The sequence below is a fragment of the Homo sapiens genome, chromosome 1 (genome assembly GCF_000001405.40).
Source record: "Homo sapiens chromosome 1, GRCh38.p14 Primary Assembly".
In the NCBI taxonomy this organism is placed as follows: domain Eukaryota; kingdom Metazoa; phylum Chordata; class Mammalia; order Primates; family Hominidae; genus Homo; species Homo sapiens.
This window is the reverse complement of record NC_000001.11, coordinates 202,313,337-202,331,656: the sequence shown is the minus strand read 5'-3', so window position 1 is coordinate 202,331,656 and position 18,320 is coordinate 202,313,337. Positions and strand designations below refer to the sequence as shown.

General features: G+C 46.4%; 1 protein-coding gene across 19 annotated transcripts in view, besides 1 other annotated feature; it reads right to left on the bottom strand.

Moving 5' to 3' along the window:
- The window catches only part of LGR6 (leucine rich repeat containing G protein-coupled receptor 6), a 125,963-nt gene continuing 119,538 nt past the window's right edge, over window positions 11,896-18,320 (bottom strand). For all 19 annotated transcript variants that reach the window (NM_001017403.2, XM_047426928.1, XM_047426929.1 and 16 more), the window contains 2 exons: window positions 16,775-16,855; window positions 11,896-13,705 (listed from right to left, as the gene is read on the bottom strand). In NM_001017403.2, coding sequence (NP_001017403.1) covers window positions 12,450-13,705; window positions 16,775-16,855 — 1,337 coding nt within the window. In that variant the 3' untranslated portion in view covers window positions 11,896-12,449. The remainder of the gene's footprint in view (window positions 13,706-16,774; window positions 16,856-18,320) is intronic.
- Window positions 13,076-13,236: a silencer, noted in NCBI's record as "fragment chr1:202287549-202287709 (GRCh37/hg19 assembly coordinates)". NCBI's record gives its function as "represses an EF-1alpha promoter that drives an FKBP-Casp9 reporter gene in an ReSE screen in K562 erythroleukemia cells {active_cell/tissue: K562}" and the evidence as "EXISTENCE:reporter gene assay evidence [ECO:0000049][PMID:32094911]".

The following is an 18,320-nucleotide window of genomic DNA, read 5'->3' as shown; positions in this document are numbered from 1 at the left end:
GTATGTGTTTATCCTGAATGTGTGTCTGGGAGTAAACTGGCCAGAGAGCTATATAATCAGAATGTTAAAATATTTGGAATTGTTGTCCTTTAGTTTGCCAACTTACCAGCATCACTAGGGATATTGAATGTTTGACACAGATGTAAAATAGCTGTAGAAACAATTCAATTACCCTTACACTTTCAGGGGTGATAGCTTTTCTGAGGTCTTAAAATAATGTGGGAAGAAGATAATAGATCCTTTTGCAAATTTGTTTTTTTGCAGCTTTCACTTCTTGTGATTTACATAGCTGACCAGAATTCTGTGATAAAACTTTCATTTGTTCAACAAATACTTACTGAACACCTACTATGTGCCAAGTATTATGCTGGTGTTTGAGAATGAAATGATGAGAAAATCAGATGTGAGATTAACCAAATACTCATACAAATTTAAGTAGGGATTTCCTCTCTCCAGCATCATTTTATGGCAAGTACCATTCTGGACAATTCGGTGCCAAACTTGAATTCCCTACTCATGATTTTGTAATATACTTGACTTATCTTTATAATTCTATTTAAATGACAGAGATAACAGATTTGAGCAGAAATCAGCTGAAGTAGGAAGAGGTCACCCAGGCCAAGCGAAGACTTTGAGGAATGTATTGTAGATATTGGACCTGCCTAGGCAGATGACTAAAGACTGTAATGCCCTTGTCCATATCACAGTGTAGCAATGATGATTTTTTACCTAGGCTAGGCACCATGCATGTAAAATGCATCTCTGAATAGGCACCTTTCATTCATCTACCTATGAATTACCTCGTACTCTTTACTGAGCAGCAGCCTGCCGTACTGCTTATGTGGTGTTTGGACTCATGCAAAGACAACAAGAAGTATGAATTTATGTAATCCATTAATGACAGGTCATGGCAGAAGCTAAAAATACAAATTTCTAATTCTACAGAATTTTTGAACCCACTTTTCAAAATCAGTTACTGTCTTTTTTTAAAGCCCAGGAATTAATTCTATTCCAGGCTTGTTTCCTATGCTTATGCATACTTAAGTCAGGTTTGGAGTTCCTAGATACCGTTAGTATATAAATTAGGATACTTAGAGTTGTGAGTGAAATTCAACTCACACTGGCGATAATGAAAGAAGTTCATTGCCTTACTAAATAGAAAGTCCAGGGGTTGAGTGAACATCTGGGTTGGTAAATTCAAAGGCTCAACAATATCATCAAGATCTTGGTCTCTCCATCTGCCATCCATAGTATCAGCTTTCTCTTAGGCTGTTTCTTCCTTAAGTTTCTTCCCCTCCTAGGATGACTACCAGCAGCAGTTGGGGTTATGTACTTTCTATCCAGCCAGGCCGGGAGGCTCTACTTTCCATGAAACAAAAGTCCCTGTGGACTGCCCTGAAAGCAGTCACTGTGGCCAGGGAAATGCCATGTGCTGATTGCTCTGGGCTAAACCCAGATATGAAGTGAGAGATGGACTTAGGGAGTAGTTGTAGGAAAAGAGCACCTCCTATAGGACAAAACCCCTTACACTTCTATCACCATGTCTAGTCAGCTCTACCAGCTACTTTTCCCTACCTCTACTTAAAACACTAGTTCAGCTGCCATCATCTCTCACCTGCACTTTAGCCATAGCCTTCTATCTTGTTTCCTTCCCCATTCTTGACCTTTGACACTCCATGCTCTTCACAGCAGCAAGAATAATCTTTGACAATGTGAGTCAGATTTGGCTTCATTCCTCCAAGTGGCTTCATCTTGCAATTAAAAGCCTAGTCTCCTTCCCTGACCCATAAGACCCCGCATGATCTGGCCCCTGCTTGCCTCATCTATCCATCCTCATTGCATACCCTCAACCCCTTATACCTTACGCTCTTCCAGCCACACAGTGCTTTCAATCTCTTGAACACAGCTAGCTCATCCCTACTTCAGGGATTTCACATATGCTATAACCTCTGCTTCCTACATACCCCAGGATAGTCTCAGCTTGAATGTAGCTGCCTCAGAAAGTCCTTTTCTATCCCATCTAAAGGAGCCCTAGATCCTCAGGTACTCTCTGGTCCATAGCCTATTACCCTAATTAATTTTCTTTATAGCACTTGTACCTATCTGGAAATGTGTTCATTTTTTAATGTGTATATTGTCTCACTCTAAGCATTGGGGATATAGTGGCTACAAGGAACTTTTCTCTCTAATCACAAGAAACACCAGAGCCAAAAGCTATTAGAAGTCATCCAACCATTTCTCTGCCTGAAGTACCGAGGACTGGGCTAGAGAACAGAAGTGACATGCCTGAGGATTTAAAAGCCCAGCTCCTTATTTCCAGCTCAGGGAAGGATGGGAAAAGGCTAAAAGCATGGACTTAGGTCAAGGAGACCCTGTTTCAGCTCTGGCAGTGCTGCTTGCAAGTTGTGTGCCCTTAGCTTTCTACTCAGTCCTCCTGTTTTTTCAGGTTTTGCGTCTGTAAAAGTGATGATGATGCTTAAGACTCATGAGGTTGTTGTGAGGATTGAATGAGATGATGCATGTAAAGCATCCAATACAGGGCCTGGCACGGTGCTGACATTTACTGAGTGCTTAGCAAGGGCACTGGGGGGATGAAGACAGCGATCCAACCACAGGTGGGTCTTAAGGAGCTGCCCTGCCCACTGCCAACTTGCCAATCTGCTCTGTTCCTAGGATAAGCAAGCTGAGCTGTTTTCTCAACTCCAAACCCCTGATTAAAGAGAGATGACATCCACGACTGATCATATAAACATTGCAGATTCCAAGTTCCCCTCTCCTGCTGCCCCCAACCCCCCTCTCCACCTCTCCCCAAAAGCTATCTAAATAAGAACAGATTTTACCACCCACCTTGTGGGCAGACTCAGCTGAGGCTGGAACTAGCTATTTATCCTTCGGCTGCTGCGGGAATTCAACACATACAAATAAAGCTCCTTTTCCAGCCAAGTGTGTATTTTTCCATCAGCGTGTGGCCCCCCTGCCCAGGTTGTCTTGTTTAGGTTGGGGCAACCCAAGGGAGGGAAGGACAAGGAAGAGGTGTGGGGCTATGATTTCAGAACCTGCTCCCCGGGATGGCTGGCTGCAAGACATCTTACAGTCCTGGACCACACTGGGCTGCCAGCAAAGCCCAGGAGAGGTTGGGGTGATGGACACGGACATGCTACACACAGCAACAACACATTCCACTTTTTCCTTGCTTCTTGGCAAGTCACCCCTGTCTCCTGCCATGGCCCCCAGAGAGCATCCATCCCTCTCACCATCTCTTAGTTTATATCAGGGATGACAGTTTATCCAGAATGTCACGCTCATCCTACCTGCCCTCCCACCCCAATACAGGGTTTTTCCCTTTCATGTGCTTGTTTTCCTTGCTCACCTTTTCCCCTGATCCCACATCCCAATAGAGTGTGTCCCCTTCCTTCCACTGTCTTCCTCCTTTAACCAGGGCCCTGAAACTCTGTGCTTCAAAAAAAGGGTCTGCTCTGACAGTTCCTCCCCTCAAACCTTCCATCAGAGGCAACTTTTCTAGGGGGTGAGTTCTTAGTCTCTACGTTGTCTCTAGGCCTGGGAGTTATTGCCATGCGCTAAGCTAAACCCTTCACATGAAAAAAAAAAATCTTTTTTTTCGAGATAGAGTCTTGCTCTGTCACCCAGGCTAGAGTGTAGTGGCATGATCTTGGCTCACTGCAACCTCTGCCTCCTGGGTTCAAGCAATTCTCCTGTCTCAGCCTCCCAAGTAGCTGGGATTACAGGTGCATGTCACCATACCCGGCTAATTTTTGTATTTTTAGTAGAGATGGGGTTTCACTATGTTGGCCAGGCTGGTCTCGAACTCCTGACCTCAGGTGATCCACTCGCCTTGGTCTCCCAAAGTGTTGGGATTACAGACATGAGCCACCGTGCCTGGCCTCATGAAAAATCTTTTTAAATTTTTTCAATAACCTTCAGAGTTTAGATACTATGATTATCCCCATTTTACGATGAAACTGAGATTCAGAGAGGTTAACCTAAGGACAACTGGCTGTTAATGCTAAGTCTGGGATTCAAATCCAGGCATGTATGACTCCAGAATCATATTTGTCAGCTGTATGGATTCTGTTCTTTTTTTTTTTTTTTTTTTTTGAGATGGCGTTTCACTCTCGTCACCCACACTGGAGTGCAATGATGTGATCTCGGCTCACTGCAACCTCCGCCTCCCAGGTTCAAGCAATTCTCCTGCCTCAGCCTCCCGAGTAGCTGGGATTACAGGCACCTGCCACCACACCCAGCTAATTTTTCTATTTTTAGTAGAGATGGGGTTTCATCATGTTGGACAGGCTGGTCTCGAACGCCTGAACTCAGGTGATCCGCCCACCTTGGCCTCCCAAAGTGCTGGGATTACAGGCGTGAGCCACCACTCCTGGCCCTGTTCTAATAATTTTACGTCTGCCTCCACAGAGTAGCTATGGGATAATGGGCAAGTTTCTCCCCTTCCATTTTCTCCTCTATAAAATGCAGGCATGGCTTGAATGCTCTCTGAGATTTCTCCCAAAGCTGACACTCGACAGCTCTGCAATTCCGAAACTTCCTGTGTAATCCAGGGGCTCAGGGGAGAGCCTGTGGATCTCCGGTTTAGTGATGAAGTAAATTAGGTTGGTCTGTTCCTTCTCATCTTCCCTTTTCATTATCTTTACTTCTTCAGCATTCTCTTGCCGTAGGTTCCCTGCTAACCTGCTAAGGATCTTCCACCCAGGCCCACAGTCTCTACCTGTTAACTCATCCTGACAGTACTTCTGTCTTATCACATACTTTTGCTCATTGAAATTCCTATTCAGGCCATGCATGGTGGCTCTTGTCTGTAATCCCAGGACTCCAGGAGGCCGAAACGGAAGGATTGCTTGCGTTCAGGAGTTTGAGAGCAGCCTAGGTAACATCGTGAGACCCCCGTCTCTACTAAAAATTAAAAAATTAGCTGAGTTTCATGGTGTATGCCTGTAGTCCCAGCTACTCAAGAGGCTGAGGTGGGAGGATTGCTTGAGCCCGGGGGGTCAAGGCTGCAGGGAGCCATGATTGTGCCACTGCACTCCATCTTGGGCAACAAAGCAAGACCTTGTCTTACTTTTTTTTTTTAATTTCATTCAGTAACTGCCCTCTTCCACACTATAGTTGAAAAGAGGTCAGTGGGTTTACTCCTGGGCCGTAGGTAGAGAGCAATGCAGAGGGAGAAGCCTATCTGGCTTCTTTTCCATGAGGGTGACAGAAATCTAACAATCTCACTTGAGCAAACAAAAGGTATTGGTTCACAATCTGAGAAGCCCAAATGTGCTTTCAGGCATGGCTAGGTACAGATGCTCAAATAATGCCATCAGGATTCATTTCACTCCAAGTGGCAAGATAGACACCAGCAGCTTTCTTCCTACCAGTCCAGCAACTCCAGTGAAAGAGTACTTCTTTCCTATCAGCACCAGCAAAGTTCTCAAGTTGGGTCTCATTAGAAGGATTTGAGATGTAAGCCCATCCTTGGACCAATCACTATGGCCAGGGATTAGAATAAGCTGATAGGGTCTGGGTTATATTCCCACCTCTGGAACCTGGCCTTGAGTCAACCCCACCTGAAAGGTATGCAGTAGAGAGCAGTGGAGGTAGTTGCCTGAAGAAGGTCAAATTGATGTTACCAGAAGAAAGGAAGTGGCCACTTCCTTTCTTCTAAAGGAACAGATACCCTGGGCAAAGGGCTATGGGCTATTCCTAACCTGAAGGAATAAGGAACAATGATGGTGGCATTTCAACCTCTGTGGTAGCCAGGGAAGAAGCTGTTATAAAGTAGAGGCTCCGGGAACTTGGTAGCCTTCAAATCTCACCATATAAATATCTGCCCATTCTCGGATCACGAGGTCAGGAGATCGAGACTATCCTGGCGAACACAGTGCAACCCCGTCTCTGCTAAAAATACAAAAAAAAATTAGCCGGGCGTGGTGGCGGGCACCTGTAGTCCCAGCTACTCTGGAGGCTGAGGCAGGAGAAAGGCGTGAACCCAGGGGGTGGAGCTTGCAGTGAGCCGAGATCGCGCCACTGCACTCCAGCCTGGGAGACAGCGAGACTCCGTCTCAAAAAATAATAATAATAATAAATAAATAAATAAATAAATAAATATCTGCCCATTCTGCGTTATACATCTTCTGGCCAGATGGCCCCTTTGGGTTGAAAAACAGAATCCTAATGGATGTACTTGGATATATTAATTTCTTTTCTTTTTTCTGTTTTTTTTTTTTTTTTTTTTTTTTGAGACAGGGTCTGGCTCTTGCCCAGGCTGGAGTGCAGTGGCATGATCTCGGCTTACTGCAACCTCCCAGGCCTCCCACTTCAGCCTCCTCAGTAGCTGAGACTACAGGTGCACGCCACCATGCCCAGCTAATTTTTGTATTTTTTTTTTTTAAGAAATGCGGTTTCACCATGTTGCCCAGGCTGGTCTTGAATTCCCAAGCTCAAGCAATCTGCCCACCTTGGCCTTCCAAACTGCTGGGATTACTGGCGTGAGCCACCATGCCCGGCCTATTAATTTCTTAATACTTTTTTCAAAAGAAATTAATTGAGCACCTTTTTTTTTTTGTGCTAGACCTCATGAAAAGGATTGAGGTTACAACAGTGAATGAGACCAGCATGATCTCTGCTCTCATGGAACTTTCCTGCTGTGCCTACTATCCATTCTGAGAAAAGTAGCCCTGCCCACAGCCCTTGCACAAGGGAAGCCCTGAGCAGTTATGTTTTGTCCAATATAACCCCACACAAACATACCCATTCACACACTACAATTTAGTGAACCAGGACAGGTTCCTGGCCTAAGAGTGATCAACCCACCTGTTGGCCATTAACCTATGATTTGGCCTATCGTAGAAAAGGAAATTTGGCTAGTTCGGTTCTTTCTCAATCTTTCAGGATATTACCCTTGGAAACTTAAAAAGGAAAGCAACAAGGAAATTACCCCAGGAACTGAAAGCTGAAAGGATGCATCCAGAGACCTTGAGGAAGGACAGGGATCATAGTGAGGTACACATAAGCAGAAGTTACCCATAAACACAGGCTATGAGCCAAAGGAAACAATTCATTTATGCAATAAATAATCATACCTTTTCTTTACCCCATTGCTAGGCCAAAAGAATTATTCTGCCTCCCTTATTGCTTCACATGTATCCTCTGAAAAATTATTCTTTTGACCCAGCAATTCCACTTCTAGGAATTTATCTTACAGATATATTTACTTACACAGGTGCTGAATTGCATTCATGCAAGGTTACTTTTTAAAGTATTGTTTATAAGAGCAAAAGAGTAAGCAACCCAAATGTCCATCAGAAGGGGAATAAGATGAAATCATGATACATCTACATAATGGGCTATATAACCTGCTTCAAAAATGTTAGAATGCTTTCTTTACTGATGTGGAAACGTCTTTGAGCTATATTACAGGTTAAAAAAGCAGAAGCAGAACTGTGGTGTGCTACTTTGGGTAAAAAGGAAAAATAAGCATATATATGCATCTTGCTGGTATATATATTTTCAAAACTCTGGGAGGATATATAAGAAACTAATAACAGTGGTAACCAATGAGGGCTTGGGAAGCGAGCCAGTAGGGACAGAGATGGGAGGGAAGCTTGTTAAGAACGTGTTATTTGAACCACGTGAATGTATTATTCAAAGATTAAATTTATGAAAAGCTTTTTAAACAAAAGGGGTGGGTGGGAGCAGCTGATTGTGGTTGAGAAGCAGATAGCTATAAAAACAGGCCTCCAGAGAGCAGCTGAACCGGCTAATTGTGGGCACCACAGGGAATAATCACAGACTAAATTCAGAATGGCCTCTAGTTTCAGGTACCACAAGGCCCAGTCTTACTGTTCTTTTTGGCCTTGGATCTATTTGCTGAGATTCTGCCTCTCTTATTGCTTCACATGGATCCTCTCAAGAAACACGTACTTACTTGAGTTAACTCCTGAGTTTCTGTCTCTTAATCCAGTCTAAGAAGAACAGCTGAAGAAATGGTCTTCCCTGTAGTTGAGCCAGAAAGATGGAGGGTTTGAAATACTCTGTTTTCAAGAGTGGAGGGCAGGTACTCATGAAGGCACCAGTTTTCCACTCAGAAGGGAGTCAGGCATTAGATCAGTAAAGCCCTAATACCATTCTGGGGCTAGCACCTTGGCCCCATGATTGCAAGTTTTGTTGAACTCCATCTTCCCTCCCCTGAGAAGGGGCTACCTGGTTGTCTTGAGGGCATCATCCCACTCTGAAGCAAGGCTGGGCCAGGGACAGGGGGGTAAAGATTCCCAAGGCAGAGAGTGAGTGAGAGAGTGCACTCAAGGCCAGGAAAGCAAGCTGATTCTTTGGGGTTCACATTATCAGGAAACCCCAGCATTAAGGGTTGGGTCTGAGAAGGTGTTCAGGGTCTGAATAATGAAGGCCCAACCTGCTCACTGCTTTATTTATTTTTATTTTTATTTTATTTTTATTTTTTTAAATTTATTTTTTTGAGACAGAGTCTCGCTCTGTTGCCCAGGCTGGGGTGCAGTGGCGCAATCTCGGCTCACTGCAAGCTCCACCTCCCAGGCTCACGCCATTCTCCTGCCTCAGCCTCCCGAGTAGCCAGGACTACAGGTGCCTGCCACGATGCCTGGCTAATTTTTTTTAATATTTTTAGTAGAGACAGGGTTTCACCGTGTTAGCCAGGATGGTCTCGATCTCCTGACCTCGTGATCCGCCCGCCTCGGCCTCCCAAAGTGCTGGGATTACAGGCGTGAGCCACCGCGCCCAGCCCACTGCTTTCTTTAGATTTTTCTATGTCTAATCCACTGGCAAGCACACAAAGGGCACTTTGATATAGGTGAGTGGAATGGATTCTGATGCCTCCAAACTTCAACTCTGAGCCTCCTTGGCTGTGCCCTAGGTGCCCCAGAACTCAGAAGACAGGTTAAGGAAGAGCCTTGCCACTGATCACTCCTCTCTCAAATACCTCTGGCCACTTCCATGGCTCCACCAGAGGCAGCAGAAAGGAGTTGAGGGACACACATCGTACTTCACTTGTGCTTTATTATACAGAAGAATCCAAATATTTACATCTTGACAATCCTTATACTTCAAGCAACTGGAGAGAGCATGGAACTGAAACCCAGAAGTGATGTGGGGGGCGGGGTGCGAGGTGGGGGGTGGTGGGTGGTGGGTGGGTGGGGGTTGGGAGAGCTTGCTATAAAGCAGAGCAGAGGTAGTTAGATGGTACCAGACGGGATCAAGGGTTCTAGCTACTGTAGTTCTGATGTTGGTTTATGAAATAAGAAATAAAAAAATAAAAAATAAATAAAAATGCTTAAAAAAGGTAAAAAAATTTAAAGAAAACATAGAAGAACAAACAAAAAAGCATTCTAGCAACTTCCCGTTATTGTCACTCAGGCCTATTTATTGTCAGCTCTTCCTTTTTCCTTTCCCCTACTCTTTAGACCTTTTATTCTTCCTGGAAAGGGAAACTAGAAAGATATTGGAGGCTAGAGGAGGAGAGAGGAAAGCAAGGAGAAGTCCCAGCTAGGGGCTCTGTTCATCCATAGTCTTCAAATCTCAGCTCTGCGTTTTTTGGATTTCACCATTGGTATGTTCAAAGTTGCTTATAAAAACCATTTCTGCCATAAGAGGTTCTCTTCCACAAATCGGTCTGAGATGAGATTGTGGTTGGCACCAGTTGCCAATGCACTGCACACAGAGCACAGGGCAACACACACCCAGTCAGCAGTTCTCAGCGTTGCCACCACTACAGCCCTCTTGGACAGATTCTTCCCCATGGATACCATTCTGGAAGATTTTGCCAACCCAACAAAATGCATTTGCATGCAATGAATAATTTGTTTTTTGATTTTGTGATCAAAGACATACATAATCTTCTGTGGATCATAATGAAGATAACCAAAGGAATAACATACTGACTTGCTAGAAATTCAGTCAAAATAACATACTGACTTGCTAGAAATTCAGTCAAAATCAAAAAACAAAGAAACTGTACTGCTCAGCTTTATTTCGGGTAAGTGTACATCGACCAGACTTTCTGAATAATGAAAATAGTTCATGGCAAACACCTCCACTCCCTTCCTCCACACCTTTCCTCTAATGAGAAGGTTCAGCAGATGCTCCTCTGGCCAGCAGACGTCTGGATCTTTAGAAGCAGGTGATAAGGTGACAGTGGTGCTACCCTTCAGCTTGCAGCCAAAAATCATCGGTCCCCTTTTCATAGAAGAGGCCACCTGTAGGGAGCAGTTCCTGTAACTCCTAAACCTCTAACACATGGTCACTGTGCTCCACCTCAACACAGACTCCCTAACTCCAAGGGGAACAATGATCACATGGCGTGGGCAAGAAGTGAGAAGGGATCTGGGGTGACTTTTTACAAGTCAAGGCTCCCAAAAATTGTACAAGTTTTGTCATCCCTGAAGCAAAGAACTCCTTTCCCTGATAAGAGTCACCAATTCTCAGTATCCAAAGTAGAGCAAACTCCTTCCTTTAAGGGCTCTTGATCAGCCCTGGGGAAATTGGGAGAGCAGGGTTCTCAAATAAACAACTGATAAATACACCTGCCATCATTAGCGAGTACCTACAGCGAGGCTGGCCTCATGGTAGGACCCTAAGATTCTTCTGGGATTACAAGGTCAGCGCATTCTGCTTCAGAGCCTATAAGAGACCAGGCAATTAGTCAGATAAGATTTAGAAATGTAGCAAGTTTCACCCATGGAGCTACCCTACCTACCTCAGCCTAGGCAGCCTTTTTGTCCTGTGTCAGAATTTCCACTAGGCATTGGGGACAGCAGGGAGATAGCAGAGAAGCTAAGCTGCAGAAACTTGAACTACAAAATTAGAAGAAGGGTTTTCCTCAGGTTTGTTGTTTTAATAGTGGAGCCCCTGGGGATAGGGCCTGGCTGAGGACCTGCCAGAATTCAGGAAGAAGATTGTTTTCCATCTGGTCTCAGAATTCTAGACTCCTGTCTTGTAGATGTGACTGATGTTGGGGTACTCTAGAGCAAGTCTTGCCCTTTGCTGAGTCTTGGATTCTCTTTTTATGTCTCCAAGAATTACCTTTAATGTCTGGAAGGATGCCCCAGCTCTTACCGCCTCACTCTCAGATTGAATATGTGTGTGTTTGGGGCTGGGTGAGGGGGGCATTCTGGAAATGCTCAGAGACACGTGGTAAACCACAGGTAGAAAGGTCATGAGGGGAGAGGCAGAAGGGTCAGCGGCCTATCTGAGACACCCAGGGTCCCAGAAAACTACAATTTCCTAAAATGCAATATCTACAATTCAAATCTCTCCTGTTTTCTGGCTAAGGCCTCCTTGTCCCAAAGAGTAGGCAGGACCTGGCTTGTGACAGGAGGTGGCAGGGGCATCTGGTGGAGAAGCATAAGAAGGCAACAAAGAGCCAGAGGGAATCCAGACAGCCCTGCCAGGACCCAGGAACCCTACTATCCCTCTTGCAGCAGACAAACTTTCACTGGTGCTTGGGCTTGCTGGGGTTGATGGCAGGGTGGTGAGAGAACACACAGGGATCCCTTTCTCCCTGCCCCAACTCAGGGGTCTGAGTCTGGAACCACAACGGCAGGCTTCTCCTCATCCTTCCCAGCATAGGATAAGAGAGGTGGGAGGTAAAGTGCTGAGTGTCTCTACTGGTGGATGGAGTCATCAATTACCTCTGGCAGTTCATTCTAGGATCGGGGCTTTCAGGAAGTGGTGGCATTTTGTGATGTCACTCGGTAGCACTAGGTGGTACAGAGATGAGCTCCCTGGGAGAGAACAGTGCTAAGTTCTGTCATGTTAATAGATATTCCAGGAAAACCAAATAAGCAGACAAAAACCTGTTACCAAATAATTCAGGGAACTGGGTAAACAAAGTTCAATAGATTTTACTACTGTAGGACTTATCTCTTTATTACACTAACATGCACTGTGAATCTCTAAGAAAAAGACATCATGTGTAATCTCTTCCAAAGCTTATTTTAATAGGAAGTCTTTATGCATGGCATATGTCAAGATTAATGGTACATGGAACACATTTTGTATCCTATCCATGAGTCACACGGGAAATCACCTTCCAGGCCTTTCTCTGTGAGGTCTCCCTGTCCACTGTGCCCTGATCAACCCTCCACCCCTTCACTGTCTTTACTTCCCTCATTTCCCTTAAGCAGACAAAAGTCCAGGTCTCTGGTCCACAGCTTCAGACATGACAAGGAAGAGGCCCAGTATCAAGGTGAAGCTGAGGAAGGCCAAGGGAAAGCCAGGCCAAGAGGCACCCGTTGGTGATGGTCACAGGAGAGAGGTGATCAGTGGAGCCAGGGACTGGGCCATCCTGCTATAGATCACACTGCTGAGTTTTGGTTGTATTTGTTTTAGAAGCAGCCATCATTCACCGAGGGGGAGAGAGGAAAGGGAAGAGAGGGGAAGAGAAGAATGGGGAGGGATATTTACACGTGTGAAGCAAAGGCCAAGCCAGAGGGCTGAAAGCCGCCACCCCCTGACAAGCCTCCACCTGCTGGCGTAGATCCCTCTGCCCTCAGCAGCAGTTCTCCATCCATGGAGGGTTGGGGGTTCCCAAAGTGGTTCCCCTCTGGCTCTACACAATGGCTGCCCTCCAGCCTGGGGGCCCCTGGCTGCTGACAGGAGATGAGGGTCACTGAGGGGAAGCCATAGGTCTCCAGCCCAGGGGGCCGCCCAGCTTCAGAAGCTTCCAGAATGAGATCCACATCAGAGAAGGCTACCAGGGCCTGGGTAGAATCACAGGAGCTCTTCTCCAGCTCCCCGGCCGCAGCATAGGCTAGGGGCCCTGAGTCCCCTGCGCGGGGCCGAAGCCGCCGAAGGTCATCCCGGAAGTGGGGGTTGAAGAGCAGGTACAGCAGTGGGTTGAGGCAGGCAGGCAGGGGCAGCACCACCAGCAGGACAGACTTGACGGCCTCGGGCGTGACAGGGAAGAGGCCCAGCATGGAGGCAAAGCTGAGGAAGGCCACGGGACAGTAGAGGAGCCCGTCTGCGAAGATGAGCCAGGCCACGTGCCTCACCATGGCGCAGTCCCACACGGCCTCAAAGTCGCCCCGCGGCAGGTCACAGTACAGTTTGATGTAGGCACCGGCCACGACCAGGAAACAGAAGGAGTTCATCATCACCAGGGCCACGGTGAAGCCCAGGGCTGCTGGCTGACCCTCAGGTGGCGCGTAGGGCAGGCAGAGTGGGGAGGCCCCGTATTCTCCCACTGAGGCCAGGGGCAGCGCGGCGGCCAGCCCTGCCAGTGCCAGGCAGCCTAGGACCCCTGCTCGAACGCTGCCCAGGGAGGGGGACTTCCCATAGGCCCGGACACAGGAGACGGAGACGCTGCACTGCACTGCGGCCAGAGTGAGCAGCAGCACCGATGCCTCCGACCCAAGTACTGCCAGGAAGCCAGTGGCCCGGCAGCCTAGCCCCGTCTCCCAGCGGGCTCCGTACTCAGAGAACTGACCAAAGGTCAGGGCATCGACTGAGGCTAGAAGGCCACAGGAAATGCCAGTCAAGGTGTTGGCGCCTGCAATCGCACCTACCACAAACTTGACCGGGGGCAGGGGGACAGGCCCGCCAGCGAACACGGTCAGCAGCACCAGTCCATTGCAGAGCACGGAGAGCAACACGATGGCCCACACGGCCAGGCGGATGCCCCAGCTTTCAAAGAGGTACTCACAGGGCTTGAAGGGGCCTGTAGGAGAGATCAGACATTAACCCTGGGCCAGAGGATGGTGGGACCAGGTCTTCAGGACCAAGGTCAGCCTCTGTATTCAGAGAATTTCCAATCAAAAGGAGATGAACATGGCCCTTGCCCTCGGAAAACTCCCAGTCTAAGGGAGGCTGACCCTGTTTCTGGCCCCAGAGAACTCCAAGTTGGAGGTTCTCTCACCTTAGAGAACTCCCAGCTGTGGGACATACACGACTCTTCTTCCGAAGAGCTGCAAGTGGGGTGAACCCTAACCCTCCTCTCAATACACCAGAACATAGAACGCATATAGGCCAGGCATGGTGGCTCACGACTATAATTCCAGCACTTCCGGAGGCTGAGGCGGATGGATTGTCTGAGGTCAGGAGTTTGAGACCAGCCTGGCCAACAAAGCAAAACCCCATCTCTACTACAAATACAAAAAATTAGCTGGGTGTGGTGGCACGCACATGTAGTCCCAACTACTTGGGAGGCTGAGGCAGAAGAATCACTTGAACCCGGGGGACGGAGGTTGCAGTGAGCTAAGATTGCTCTACTGCACTCCAGCCTGGGCAACAGAGCAAGACTCTCTCTCTCCCCAAAAAAACAAAAAAAAAACAAAAAAACACACACATGGTACAAATTAATACAGTACAAACCCAGATATTGAGGAAATGTTAAGTGAAGGACAGCACTGGAAAGAAAGGAAGGACAGGCTGCCATCAAGGAGTGGAGAGGGTATCAGAATTGGGAGCTATGGTGGGTAGGGACAGAGGCATGAGGGACTGCCCAGACAGTAACCAGTCTATGCCTGAGGCTCTGTTTCTCTCAGTCAGTCCCCAGTGATCCACTAAGTCCTCCACTGTGGGAGAGTCCTGACCAAATATTATACCAGGCTGGCTCTCCCTTGCTCTGTGAGAGGGGTACAGACCACATTGAATACTTGTCAGTCAATCAGTATTTCGGAGGTAAATTGCCTCAAGTACAGTAAATCAAAATACAGATGACTTCTGGGGTTTTCCAACCTAGGTCCACACGAGATGCGTGAGATCCTGGTGTTTTCCATCCCTCTCTCCAAAGTCTGTTCCTAAATCACCTTGTAACTTTGGAAATATTATTTCTTCATTTTCTTTGGCTTTCCACTCTTGTTCTTCAATGTGTTTCTTGGTAGCTTGGGAATTTGAGAGGCTTTTGTGGGAGCTATTTTTAAACCTTTTCTTTCTTATTACCAAATATAATAGGTGATAACTGTAGAAAATTTGAAAATATAACATGAAAACATTAAAATGACATGAGACTTCACCTCTCAGAGATAACTCATTATTTTGGTATGCTTCCGTCCAGTCTTTAAAAAATACATACATACATATAGGTTTTCAAGCTAAATTAAGATTTTACTGTTGTTATCATTTGGATATGGTTTGTCTGCACCAAAACTCATGCTGAAATGGAATCCCCCAATGTGGGAATGTTGGAGGTGGGGCCTAGTGGGAGGTGTCTGGGTCATGGGGACAGATCCCTCAGGAACAGATTAATGTCCTTCTGTGAGGGTGAGTGAGTTCTCAATCAATCCAGGGAATGGATTAGTTCCCTAGGAGTGGGTTGTTAAAGGGAGTCTGGCTTCTCTTTCACCCTGTGATCTATTTGCACATACCCACTCCCCTTCTGCTTTCCATCACAAGTTGAAGCAGCCTGAGGCCCTCATCACATGCAGCTGTCCAATCTTGAACCTCCCAGCCACCAGAATTGTGAGTCAAACAAAACTCTTTCCTTTATAAATTACCTAGCCTTAGGTATTCTGTTATAGCAACACGAAGCGGACTAAGACAACTGTATATGCGTTTCTCGTTCTCTTTAAGTCACATTTTTATCAAGCAGACTTTCCCAAATTTTTTCCCAGAGAAATATTTTTATATTACTCAAAACATATTTTATGTACCATAAAATGTACCATAATTATTTGACCATTTGGTGTGAGTTATTTTAGAAGCAAGCTCGAGTTGGACTTTGTCTTTTGGAACTTCCTCTTTTACCTCATCCCTGCTGATTACTGGTTTTCAGAGGTGAAATTTCCATGGCATTGTGAATGCAGCATGTGTGTTTTTCCAAGTCAGAAGCAGCACCTGCTTCCTCCAGGTTGGGTTAGTGCTCTGGCCCCAAGCTGGCACTAGAGGGCGTGCTGTTGTCACCAAGCACTGAAAACTCGGGCTGGGCAAGGCCAGGCAATCACTCTATAGGCTTTAGAGAGGGTAAAGGGAGAAGGCAAGGGTCCTGGGCCAGAGAAAGCTGGAAAACTGGAAAACGGAGGTGGAACGAAATAGAAGAAGCAAACTGTTCATCACTTCTGTTCATTCTGAAGAATCCCATCCTTGCCTAAGTAGCATGCTGCTTGCCACCTTCTGTGGCCTGTTAGCATTTTATATGCAAGCGAAGGGACTTCCTCACTCTAAATGTCTCAAGTTGAATTGCACCAAAGAGAAAGAGAATTTTCTTTTTTGCTTTCTTTATAGCAGGATGGATTTAGGTTAGATGCTAAAGGAGGCTTCCGCAACTATAAGCGTTAGATGGTGCTGTAAGGACTTACCCAGGGATACTATGGAGTTTTTCCACTGTGCAGAGTTTTAACAGAGACTGTAATCTTCCTGGGATGGAGCAGGGAGGGATGGAGAAGGTGACCTGTTGGAGTCCCACCTGGCTCTAGGATTCTGTGGTATGGGTCTTAGACTGAGGGATTACTCAAAAGCAGTCCCACGTGCCACCCTGAGCAATGGGGTCAAGGCATTCTTTCCTGCTTCTCTCCTGTGTAACAGTAGTTTTATCCTGGATGCATAAATGCTAATTGGCTGATTGCTTGACTTCGCCTCCATTCATGCTACTCCCCTCAAGCAGCCACCCAAGGGAAAGAACTCCAGTTCCTTCCCCAGGAATTACGAAAGGAGGGCCCTCTTGCAGCAGGCTGGGAGTCAGGCAAAGAATGTGGCTGCAGACATGCCAGGCTGAACTAATACCTCAACTAGGTGGTTGGGTGCCCTTTCTCCATTCCCCCTCGTCCCCATTCCCCAGACACCACCTCACCTGGAGTAGGGCTACACTGGACACTGGGGTGTGGCTTTGAGTCCTCCATCTCCAGCTGGAGCTCATCCAGGTCCTGGTCATCTGAAAGGAGAGACAAAGTGATGCAGGGTCCTGGGTCTTGGTGTCAGTCAAGCCCTACCTTTCTCCAAATGCCCCCTCCTTTAAGATGTCCCTTACTAACTCTGCTCAGCACTGTTCATTCTAGCAACCCGGCACATCCATTTCTACCCTTGGGGGTAAAGATTTGGTCAGCTTCCTATTATCCACATGTGGATTATCTGCACTGAAGAGTGCACAGCAAACATTTCACCTAGACCTTCTCTTTCTATTAGTCAGGGCTCTATGTCCTCTCCAGTCAGCCTTACCCACAAGTGCTGCTTCGAGTTGGAGTGGAAGCTGTTTCAATAATGTATGCTAGTGATCACACATTCTCTACTCTGGCTGGGCTGTCACTGTAATTTTGTGTCCAGTTGTGAAAACTACACATTAAGAAAAACATCAGTGAGCTGCAGTGTGTTTAGACGTGAACGAGTGAACTAGGGGGTGGGAGAGCAGAAGCCATTTGTGAGAGAAACAGTCAAAGCAACTGGGCGGTGTTTAACTTGGAGGAGGTAAGAGTAAGTGGGGGTATCATGGCCGTCCTCAAAGGGCTGAAGGACTGTTAGGGGTAAAGGAATTTGACTTCTACATGCTGTTTTGCCCCAGAGGGTAGAACCAGGATCAATGGATGGACTGTAGAACGAGGCAAATTATGATTCGAATGGAGACACTCTACTACTTCCTAACAAGAGTAAGTTCCCACAATTAGAGCTGTCCAGCAAAGGAACACCCCACCTTCAACAGGTGCAGAGTAGGTCCACATCTGCTGAGTGCAATTCTGGCACTGGGCAAATGCAGAAGAATTTCAGGGATGAATAAGAGATGGACCTGCTCTCAAAGAGCTTGTGGAGACTAATAAGGAAACAAATTGTCATGCTACAATGAGTGCCATCAACTAACAGATTTATTTACTAGCTAGAAGGGAATAATTTGAATGTTCCTAGCATAAAGAAAAGACAAATTTTTAAGGCAAAGGATATCCCGATTACTCTGATTTGATCTTTATATACATTATATGAATGTATTAAATAATCACATGTGCCCCCCATACATACATTTATTATGTATCAATTAGAAAAAAATTTTCAGCTAATAGATTCACTGAACAATAAGGGTTAACATTTCTTGAGTTCTTATTCGGCACCAGGTACTGTGCCCAGTCAGTCCTCATCTTCATGGTCCCATTAACCTTCACAACATCCATGTGAGGCAGGTGACAGATAAGGAGACTGAGGCTCATTGAAGTTAAGTGGCTTGCCTGCAGCCTCACAGCAATAGACTAGAATTCAGATGCAGGTTTGTCTGACTACAGAGCCCAGATGTTTAACCATCATGCTTTCCCAGGCAAGGGACTGATTACTTTGGGGGGTCAGGGGGTGGGGAGGGTTCAGGAGATTTACAGATGCATGAGCTGAACATAATTTGTCACTGATGATACTAAACAGAA